The sequence below is a fragment of the Homo sapiens genome, chromosome 4 (genome assembly GCF_000001405.40).
Source record: "Homo sapiens chromosome 4, GRCh38.p14 Primary Assembly".
Classification (NCBI taxonomy): domain Eukaryota; kingdom Metazoa; phylum Chordata; class Mammalia; order Primates; family Hominidae; genus Homo; species Homo sapiens.
The window spans coordinates 188,746,558-188,758,646 of record NC_000004.12 but is presented as its reverse complement, the minus strand read 5'-3'; the positions used below and the strand labels follow the sequence as shown (position 1 = coordinate 188,758,646).

The 12,089-nt window shown below is 39.6% G+C and overlaps 1 annotated feature.

The window, feature by feature from the left end:
• Positions 3,749-3,918: an enhancer, noted in NCBI's record as "experimental_77155 CRE fragment used in MPRA reporter constructs". NCBI's record gives its function as "activates a minimal promoter by MPRAs in K562 erythroleukemia cells, with activity observed for the non-introgressed 4:189675968 variant allele {active_cell/tissue: K562}" and the evidence as "EXISTENCE:reporter gene assay evidence [ECO:0000049][PMID:34662402]".

Genomic DNA, 12,089 nt, shown 5'->3' with positions numbered 1-12,089 from the left:
CACTCAAGAATGAAGCTCTAAAAAGACTCCTCTGACCTATTAGGATTCTGGGTCATTTCCATAAGATTTAATGATTTCACTACTTCGAGGCTATCTGATCTCTTGTAACTGAATTTCTATATCTCATTGGGGATTATCATACTTTACACTCAGTTATAAAATATATGTGTAATCTTTGCGAGGTGGGGAGATTTCTTAGCTAATTGACTCAATATTCCCTAAAAAGAGTTTCTTTGAGAAGTTAAAATGTGATATATTTTTTAAAGAAAAATACTCTCATAAGATCAAAATAAATTTTTCACAGCATTTACTTTCCATTTTCAATTATTTAAATATAGAAATTTAGATTGTAGGTACAGTTCCTATTAATACTCCAAACCTGTGTTATAATGCTCCTATGAAAATCCAAGTTGACCAAAGTTCTAACAGATCTTCTTTTAAATGATATATTACACCTAAAATAAAAGTTTTTTGGCTCCTCTTTTCAAAAAAAAAACCTATATAAAACAAGTTAGGACAGCTATTAATCAGTGTATCAGATTAACCAAATATATCAGATATACAAATATGACAGTATATCAATATAGCAGAGGTATCAATATATCGATATACCAAACCAGAAAAAATTATCTTTGTTGATGTCATTAATGGTGTTTTATTGTTCATAAAGAAGAAGAGAATGAAGAAATCTCTGAAACACGTGATTGATTACTGTCAAAGATACAAAGTATACTCAATTACATTAAAATAAAATCATTGTATTTTGAAAACGCACCCCCTCAGTTATATGTATAACACTAAGTAATTCTATTAGAAATTTTTTATGTTCCACAAATCGATGCTACATTATAGTGTGAAAATTATATCTGCGCTGCAAATCTAGCTTGCCATTAACTATGTACCTCTCATCAAGCTACTTCCCATTATAAGCCTCGGTTTCCTCGTCTGTAAAGTGTTAGCAGTAAAGGCATGTTGGTCTTAAGTGATTGTGATGACAGAATGAGATGACATATAGAAAGAATTTTCTAAGTGGGAGATCTTCAGTAAATAGTCGCTATTTTTATTCAATTCGCAGCTGACACTTAATGGAAAATCCATTAAAAAATTGACAGAGGTCATGCATTTCTTTTTTGACTAAATTTTTAAAAATTTGACTAAATATGTCAATTTTAGGCTAAAGGGCAATTTTCTCATAGATTTCAAGCAAAAATTTCCCTCAATTGCTTGACAATTTTGTTTTTTGGTTTTTTTGTTTGAGACGGAGTCTTACTCTGTTGCCCAGGCTGGAGTGCAGTGGTGCAATCTTGGCTCACTGAAACCTCTGCCTCCCAGGTTCAAGCAATTCTCCTGCCTCAGCCTCCCGAGTAGCTGGAATTACAGGCACCTGCCACTATGCCTGGCTAATTTTTTTGTATTTTTAGTAGAGACAAGGTTTCATCATGTTGGCCAGGCTGGTCTCAAACTCCTGACCTCAAGTTATCTGCCAGCCTCAGCCTCCCAAAGTGTTGGGATTACAGGCGTAAGCCACCGTGCCCAGCTGACAATGTTTTTATATTTTCTTTGAAGGCTTAATTTTGATCTGCTTTGTAGCCAATTCTAGAAATAAATAGACTGATCCAGGAAATTCCACAATTTTAGGTCTTAAATTTTCACAACATGATGATAAATTATGCTAAAGACCATTTGAAATCAATGATGTGTGAGAATCTGTCAAATAAACAATTCATTTAAGATTGTCTTTAGACTCTCTGAGGTCTGATCTTGTATTGTCATCGCAAAACAAAATATACCACATAATCTTAGATGCTGAAAACAAAAAGAGGCTACTCTGAATTAAGATTTAAAGTAATACCACACAAGTATTAGTGAGAGTTGCTATGAGAAATGTTGATTTTAACCATTTATTTTTAGTCTATAACTTGTTAAAATTATTTATTTTTCCCAATACCTCAAATATAAGTCCTTGCTTTTCAAAACTTTCCTCTTTAAATTCAATGGCAGTATCAAAATTTTGTTTGTAAAAATTGATAGATTCCTCCTCTTCTTCCTTCTCTTACTCCTCATTCTCATCCTTCTTGTGCTCCTCCTTCTATCTCAACTTGTCTTCCCTTGTGTTGTAGGTTCTAGGAAAACAGTGCTAACTTCAGCACCTGAAATAACCCAATGCAGGGTTTCTGGTAACAGTAATTTCTCTTCTCCTTTCCTCTTTTTATTTCCTGATTATCCTCTTTACAGTATATCCATGCGTATAAGTTGTCCCCACATTTTTAAGAAAACATATGCCAGGCACAGTAGCTCACGCCTGTAATCCCAGCACTTTGGGAGGCCGAGGTGGACAGATCACAAGGAGAGGAAATCAAGACCATCCTGGCTAACACGGTGAAACCCTGTCTCTACTACATATACAAAAAATTAGCCAGGCGTGGTGGCAGATGCCTGTAGTCCCAGCTACTAGGGAGGCTAACACAAGAGAATGGCATGAAACCAGGAGGCAGAGCTTGCAGTGAACCAAGATCACACCAGTGCACTCCAGCCTAGGCCACAGAGCAAGACTCAAAAAAAAAAAAAGGAAAATATATAGTATGCCATTATGGTCACCTCTCCCGCACCCGCTGCCATCTCCCCCTCCCCCCACCCTGCCACCAGGTTCATATGTTGAAGTCCTCATGTGTTCGGAATTGGTGGGTTCTCGGTCTCACTGACTTCAAGAATGAAGCCAGGGACCCTCGCGGCAGCTGTTACAATTCTTACAGATGGTGCGTCCTAAGTTTGTGCCTCCCAGTGTTTGGACATCTTCAAAGTTTCTTCATTCTGGGGGATTCATGGTCTCACTGGCTTCAGGAGTGAAGCTGCAGACCTTGGCGGTGAGTGTTACAGCTCTTAAAGGGGTGCGGGTGGAGTTGTTCGTTCCTCCCCTCTGGAGTTGTTCATTTCTCCCGGTAGGTTCGTGGTCTTACTGGCCTCAAAAATGAAACTGCAGACCTTCACGATGATTGTTACAGCTCATAAAGGCAGTGCAGACCCAAAGAGTGAGCAACAACAAGAGTTATTGCAAAGAACAAAAGAACAAATCCTCCACAGTGTGCAAAAGTACCCCACAAGATGGTAGCTACTGGCTGAGGCAGCCTGCTTTTATTCCCTTATCTGACCCCACCCACATCGTGCTGATTGGCCCATTTTACAGACAGCTGATTGGTCCATTTTACAGATACCTGATTGGTCTGTTTTACAGAGAGCTGACTGGTCCGTTTTGACAGGGTGCTGACTGGTGAATTTATAATCCCTGAGCTAGACACAGAGTGCTGATTGGTGTATTTACAATCCTCTAGCTAGACATAAAAGTTCTCCAAGTCCCCGCTAGATTAGCTAGACACGGAGCACTGATTGGTGCATTTACAAACCTTGAGCTAGACACAGGGTGCTGATTGGTGCATTTACAAACCTTGAGCTAGACACAGGGTGCTGATTGGTGCGTTTACAAACCTTGAGCTAGATACAGAGTGCTGATTGGTGTATTTACAATTCTTTAGCTAGACATAAAAGTTCTCCAAGTCCCCACCAGATTAGCTAGATACAGAGTGCTGATTGGTGCATCCATGAACCCGGAGCTAGATAGACACAGAGTGCTGATTGGTGCATATACAATCCTCTGGCTAGACATAAAAGTTCTCCAAGTACCCACCTGACTCAGGAGCCCAGCTGGCTTTGCCTAGTGGATCCCATGCCAGGGCTGTGGGTGGAGCTGTCCGCCAGTCCCGTGCCACATGCCTGCACTCCTCAGCCCTTGGGCGGTTGATGGGACCCGGTGCCATGGAGGAGGGGGTGGCACACATTGGGGAGGCTTGGGCCACACGGGAGCCCATTGTGGGGGGGCTCAGGCATGGCGGGCTGCAGGTCCTGAGCTCTGCCCTGTGGGGAGGCGGCTGAGGCCTGGTGAGAATTCAAACATGGCGTGGGCAGGCTGACAGTGCTGGGGACCTGGCACCCCCTCTGCAGCTGCTGGCTGGGGTGCTAAGCCCGTCACTGCCCAGTGCTGGCAGCACCAGCCGGCCACTCCAAGTGTGGGGCCTACTGAGCCCACAGCCACCCAGAACTCACGCTGGCCCATGAGCGCCATGTGCAGCCCTGGTTCCCGCCAGCGCCTCTCCCTTCCACACCTCCCCAGAAGCAGAAGGAGAGGGCTCCAGCGTCGGCCAGCCCAGAAAGGGGCTCCCACAGTGCAGCGGCCGGTTGAAGCGCTCCTCAAGCGCGGCCAGAGGGGGCGACAAGGCTGAGGAGGTGCTGAGAGTGAGTGAGGGCTGCTAGCACATTGTCACCTCTCACTAACTTCCAGTGGGATGATATTTGAAGATAGGGCTTTGGGAGGTAATTATCAGTTGAGATTATGAGAGTGGGAGCCTGGTGAGATAAGATGAGTGCCCTTATAAGAAGGGACATTATAGAGCTCTCTTGCTGTCATTCTGTGAAAGCACAGAGGAAAGGCCAGGATGCAGCAAGAAGACAGCATCTGCAAGCAAGAAAGAGAGCCCTCACTGGGAACCAAAGCAGCCGGAACCTTGATCTTCGACTTCCCAGCCCCCAGAACTGGGAGAAACAAAATTCTGTTGTTTTAGACACCTAGTCAATGGTATTCTGTCATGTAAGCCCACGAAGACTAAGACATGTACCATTCACTAAAAGTAATTGTAAATTAATATTATTCCTAAATGACATCGTTCCAGAAATTTTTCATTTCCTTCCTTCTTTTCTGTAACTTCTGTGTAGGTAGCCCAAGGCAAATTTCTCTGCAATGTCTCTGCATTATACATTTGCCTCACTACAATCTGAAATACTTTCCTCTACTTCATGCATAATTTTACCTTGTCATTTGAAAAGATATTTTCCCCACTGATTTAAATTTTTCCCATTTCTTATTATATAACTATGATTTTTTTTTTGAGATTGGTTTTGTCAACTTAAGCCCCTACCAGTGATGTATGACTCCCTATTGGTCCAAATACTTGCCAAAACTTAGTATTACCAGGCTGACTGTTCTTGCATTCTGATTGTGGCTGGTCACATCTCCATTTTGAGTTTAATTTGCATATCTTTGATTACTGATACTGTTGTGTAGCTTTCCATGTCTTTACTGGCTTTAGAGAATATTCTTTTTTTTTTTTTTTTTTTTTTTTGAGACAGAGTCTTGCTCTGTCACCCAGGCTGGAGTTCAGTGGCACGATCTCGGCTCACTGCAAGCTCCGCCTCCCAGGTTCACACCATTCTCCTGCCTCAGCCTCCCGAGTAACTGGGACTACAGGCACCCACCACCACGCCCTGCTAATTTTTTTCTTTGTATTTTTAGAAGAGACGGGGTTTCACCGTGTTAGCCAGGATGATCTCGATCTCCTGAACTCACGATCTTCCCACCTCAGCCTCCCTAAGTGCTGGGATTCCAGGCATGAGCCACTGCGCCCAGCCAATATGCCTATGATTTTTAAGGTTTTATAAATAATTTCCCTCAGTTGATAACCTTGCCGTGTGCTTCCCTGAGAAATGGGAGCAATCTGAATAATAGTTTCTCATCTTTATACACGAAACAACAGATATACCTACGTTTGGCATCAGATCTGCCTTTCCTTTTACTTAACCAAAGATTACTAATATCAGAAACCAGTTGCTCCACTGCTGTTTCAACCCCTTTGTCTTCTATAAGACCGCATGACCATGGTTGTCACCAAGCATCCTATCATTAGTTTCTTTGCTGTATAAATTGTATTTTCCCATGATTTATTCAACAAATATGTTTTGATAACTTCCTGTTTTCCAGATATTCTTCGAAGTGCTGGAAATACAATAGAGACTACAATATAGAAAAATTCCTTCTCCATGTTAAAACTCCCATTCTTGTTGAGAGAGGCAAATAACAAGGATAAATTACAGCAAACTTACAAACAGAATTATATGTCTTCTGTTGAGTGACAATGCACATGAGAGAAAACTATAGCAGAGAATACGCATAGTACATGTCAGAAGTGGGAAAATTTAAATAGTGTGATCAAAGAAAGTCCTTCGCTTACCAGGTATTATTTGTGCAAAGACCTAAAAGATGAGGGGAAAGCACATACCAAGTAGAAGAAACAACAGGTACCAAGACTTGCTGTCTGGGTTTAAAAAGAATTCTGATTGGACTGGAGCAAGATCAGTTAGAGAGAGGATAGTCGGCTACAGAAATGTGGTGAGGCCAGAATGAGGAGGGCCATGAAAGACAATGTAATGACTTTGACTCGTACTCTAAGTAAGATGAAACAACTTAGATGAGTTTCAGAGACGTGATGCGATTCAAATTACCTTTTAACAAAACCTTTCTGGTTGTTCCAAGTATAAACTAATATGGATAAAGGATAGAAGTAGGAAGCCTTTTCAGGGAAGTTGTCCCCATAATTCAAGTGAGATGGTGGTGCCTTTGGTTATGGTGGTACTAATTCAAAAGTAAAGATGTTGTCAGATAATTGATTTGTTGATGTATTGGATGGTAGATGAGAGAGAAAGAACAGCTATTTAAGATTTTAGATGGAGGAACTGGAGAGTTCATCACCTGAAGTGCATAAGTCTGTGGGAGAAGGAAATTTCGGAAGGAAGTAGATGTCAAGTGCATGTCAAGTTTTGAATGCCTATAAGGCCTGCTAAAATGCAAGAGGAGATATTTGGTTGGATCTTGGAAGTTTAAGCCTGGAGTTTGAAGGAATGAGAGAAACATAGGATAGAGGTGTAAATCCAGAGTAACTACCATGCAGATGGTTATTTAAAACTGAAATTTTGAGATCATTAAGAAATTAGTGTATACGTAGAAAAAAATAATCTAGAATCAATTGAAGAATTGGTCTCTAGAAAGAGAAAGTCATTAACTAAGTTGATTGCTGTTGTCAAGAGTCCAGCTGGGTTGGGATGATAAATGGTCATTGAATTTTGCAAACTGGAAGTCACAGATGACTGTGACCAAGCAGTTTCAGTGGGTGGCAGAAGAGAAAAATCTAAATTGAGCAGATGCCAGAAATACATGGAGCAGAGAAATTGTAGCGGGTGGATCTTCCTGCTTCAAATGTTGCATCCTACAGTCTACTTTTTCATACAACATCCAGAGTAGCCTTTGTAAAATATAAATAAGATATTGTCAGACCAGATGGATTCACAGCCTAATTCTACCAGATGTACAAAGAGGAGCTGGTACCAATTTCTACTGAAACTATTCCTAAAAATTAAGGAGGAGGACCTTCTCCCCAACTCATACTATGAGGCCAGCAACATCTTGATACCAAAACCTGGCAGAGGCACAACAAAAAAAGAAAACTTCAGGCCGATATCTTTGATGAACATTGGTGCAAAAATCGTCAACAAAATACTGGCAAACCAAATCCAGCAGCACATCAAAAGGATTATCAACCATGATCAAGTAAGCTTTTTCCCCAGGATGCAAGGTTGGTTCGATGTACAAAAATCAATAAATGTGATTCATTGCATAAACAGAACTAAAGACCAAAACCACATGACTATCTTAAAAGATGCAGAAAAAGGCTTTTGATAAAATTCAACATCCCTTCTTGTTAAAAACTCTCAATAAACTAGGTATTGAAGGAACATACCACAAAATAATAACAGCAATCTGTGACAAACCCACAGCCAGTATTATACTGAATGGACAAAAGCTGGAAGAATTCCCCTTGAAAACCAACATAAGACAAGGATGCCTTCTCTCAACACTCCTGCTCATCATAGTATTGGAAGTCCTACCCAGAGCAGTCAGGCAAAAGAAAGAAATAAAGCCAATCCAAATAGTAATAGAGGAACTCAAACTATCTCTGTATGCAGATGACATAATTCTACATATAGAAAACCCCATAGTCTTTGCCCAAAAGCTCCTTCAGCTGATAAACAACTTCAGCAAAGTTGCAGGATACAAAATCAGTGTACAAAAATGACTAGCATTCTTATACACCAACAACAAGCAAACTGAGAGCCAAATTAGAAAGGCAATCCCATTCACAATTGCCACAAAAAATAAAATACCTAGAAATACAGCATCCAGGAAGGTGAAAGACCCCTACAATGAGGATTACAAAACACTGCTCAAAGAAATCACAGAAGGGCTAAGCGTGGTGGTTCACCCCTATAATCCCAGCACTTTGAGAGGTTGAAGTGGGCAGATCACGAGGTCAGGAGATTGAGATCATCCTGGCCAACGTGGTGAAACCAAGTCTCTACTAAAAATAAAAAAATTAGCTGGACATGGTGGCATGTGCCTGTACTCCCAGCTACTTGGGAGGCTGAGGCAGGAGAACCGCTTGAACCTGGGAGGTGGAGGTTGTAGCGAGCTAAGATCATGCCACTGCACTCCTATCTGGCGACAGAGCAAGACTCTGTCACAAAAAAAAAAAAAGAAAAGAAAAAGAAAAAAGAATAAAGAAATCACAGAAGACACAAAAGAATAGAAAAACATCCCATACTCATGGATAGGAAGAATCAATATTATTAAAATGGCTATACTGCCCAAATAAATTTGAAGATTTAATGCTATTCCTATCAAACTATAAATGACATTCTTCACAGAACTAGAAAAAATTATTTTAAAATGTATATGAAATGAAAAAAGAGCCCAAGTAGCCAAGGCAATTCTAAACAAAAAGAACACAGCATAAGAAGTCACATTTCCCAACTTCAAACTATACTACAAGGCTACAGTGACCAACACAGCATGATACTGCTACAAAAACAGGCACATAGTCCAGTGGAACAGAGTAGAGAGGCCAGAAATAAGGCCACACATCTATTACCATGTGATCTTTAAAAAAGCTGACAAAAACGAGCAGTAGGGAAAAGACTCCCTAATAAATACATGGTGCTGGGATAACTGGCTAACCATATGAAGAAGACTGAAGCTAGACCCCTTCCTTACACCGTATACAAAAATTAACTTAAGATGGATTAAAGACTTAAATATAAAACCAAAAACTATAAAAACCCTGGAAGGCAATACCATCCTGGACTTAGGAATGGGCAAAGATTTCATGACAAAGGTAACAAAGGCAATCACACCAAAAGCAAAAATTGACAATTAAACTTAACAGCCTCTGCACAGCAAAAGAAACTATCAACAGAGTGGGCAGACAACGTACAGAATTGGAGAAAATTATTGCAACTATGCATCTGATAAAAGTCTAATATCCAGCATCTATAAGGAACTTAAACAAATTTACAAGAAAAAACAAATAACCCCATTAAAAAGTGGGCAAAGGGCATGAACAGACACTTCTCAAAAGAAAACATACGTGTAGTCACTAAGCATATAAAAAATTCAATATTACTGATCATTAGAGAAATGCAAATCAAAACCACAATGAGATACCATCTCACACAAGCCAGAATGGCTATTATTAAAACATCAAAAAATAACAGATGCTGGCAAAGTTGTGGAGAAAAGGGAACCCTTATACATTGTTTGTGGGAGTGTAAATCAGTTCAACCATTGTGGAAAGCAGTATGGCGATTCCTCAAAGATCTAAAAGTATAACTACTGTTCAACCTAGCAATCTCATTTCTGGATATATACCCAGAGGAATATAAGTCATTCTACCACAAAGACATGTGCACTCAAATGTTTATTGCAGCACTTTTCACAATAGCAAAGACATGGAATCAAAAAAATGCCCATCAAAGATAGACTAGATAAAGAAAATGTGATACATATACACCATGGAATATTATGGAACCATAAAAAAGAGCGAGATCACGTCTTTTGTGAGAACGGATGGAGCTGGAGGCTATCATCCTTAGCAAACTAACACAAGAACAGGAAACCAAATACTGCATGTTCTCACTTAAAAGTGGGAGCTAAGTGATAAGAACTTATGAACACAAAGAAGGAAACAACAGACACGGGTCTACTTGAGGGGGGAAGGTGGGAGGAGGGAGAAGAGCAGAAAAGATAGCTATTGGGTACTAGGCTTAATACCTGGGTGATGTAATAATACGTACAACAAACCCCCATGACACGTTTATCTATGTAACAAACCTTCGTATGTACCCCCAAACCTAAAATAAAAAATTTTTTAAAATACAAAATAAAAAGCATAAAAAGAGATATTGTCATTTCTTTGAACATAACTTTCAAATGATTTTCCACTGCATTCAAAATAAAGGCCGAACTTTCACCATGACTTGAAAGGTCTGGTATGGGCATTCCCCCGCCACCCACCTAGTATCATCTCACACCATGCTATCCTAGCTTTCTCCCTTGCAGTTACACTGAGTTGTTTCTTTTTTTCTTTCCTCAATGTGCTCACCATTTTTCTCCTCCTTGGACTGTCCACTATTCTTTCTACTTCCTCCAAGCCATGTACACAGAGGACCATCATTTAGTTCCAGCTCAAATAGTATCATTGTTCTACTGTTTATTGTCAGACCACTTAGCTAATTTATAAATTCCATGAGCAAGGTGCTCTCTTTTGTTTTTCACTGTATTCCCAGTACTGAAAGTGCAGGCATGAAATAATTATTTGTGGATATATGGAAAACAAATGAATAGATGGGTCTCTTGTGAGATACACTGGCAGGATAACTACTGTCATCAATGAACAAAGAGTACATTTTAATTAAAATGACATTGTTGAGTTATAGATTTCATTATATAAGCAATGATTGTGAGCATTAACCAGCATATCCAAATGAGTTATTAAATTTTTCAAAATATGCAGCAACATGGATGGAACTGGAGGCCATTCTCTTCAGTGAAACAACTCAAAAACAGACAGTCAAATGCTGCATATTCTCACTTATAAACAGGAGGTAAACAATGCATGCACATGGATATAGAGACTGGAATAATAGACACTGGACACACAAAAGATGGGAGGGAGGGAGGAGGGCAAAGGTTGAGAAATTACCTATTGGGTACAATGTTAATAATTTGGGTGATGGGCACACTAAAAGCCCAGACTTCACTGCTAAGCAATATGTGTATGTAAGGAACCTGCACGTGTACCCCCTAAATACATTTAAATAAAATCTGCAAAATAATAAACTATATTTATTTACATTAATCTTTAATGCTAGTTGTTTTCATTCCCAACACTAGTTTTCCCATCATATATTTCAAATTTGGAGTTGTTATTAACTAGAAAAACTGTGGCAAAGATTTAGGTAGCGTAAACAAGATAGGAAAATCTAGAAACCAAAATATACTAGAATTCTTAATGAATATTTATAAAAGGAAAAAACAGTGAGGAACCAACCTAATTCATTTATTTTATTGCTGTATAATATTTTGTTATATGAATATATCACTGTTTATCCAGTACACATTTAATGATATTTGATTTACTTATGATTTTGAACTATTATAAATAATGCTGCAACTAACTTTCTTATACGTGTCTTTGATGCATATCTGTATGCATTTCTGTTACATATACACATGGGAGAAAATCCTTTGGATCAAAGCCTTTATGTTTGTTTTGGTACATATGTTTAGTTTTGGTATACATGTTTAGTTTTGGTACACACTGACAGTTTTCCCATGTGTCACACTGATTTTATCAACTTAAGCCACTACCAGTGATGGATGACTCCCTATTGGTCCAAATACTTGCCAATACTTGTTAGTATTACAAGGCTGATTCTTCTTGCATTTTGATTGCGGCTGGTCATGTCTCCATTTTGAATTTAATTTGCATATCCTTGATTACTGATATTGTTGTGTAGCTTTTCATGTTTTTACTGGCTTTAGATAATATTCTTTTTTTTAATTTTTTCTGAGACAGAGTCTCGCTCTGTCACCAAGGCTGGAGTGCAGTGGTGCAAGCTCGGCTCACTGCAAGGTCTGCCTCCTGGGTTCATGGGACTCTTCTGCGTCAGCCTCCCAAGTAGCTGGGACTACAGACACGTGCCACCACTCCCAGCTAATTTTTGTTTTTTTTTTTTTTTTTTTTTTTTAGTAGAGATGGGGTTTCACCATATTGGCCAGGCTGGTCTCAAACTCCTGACTTCGTGATCCACCCGCCTCAGCCTCCCAAAGTACTGGGGAGAATATTCTTTTGTGAAGCACCCATTTAAGTCTT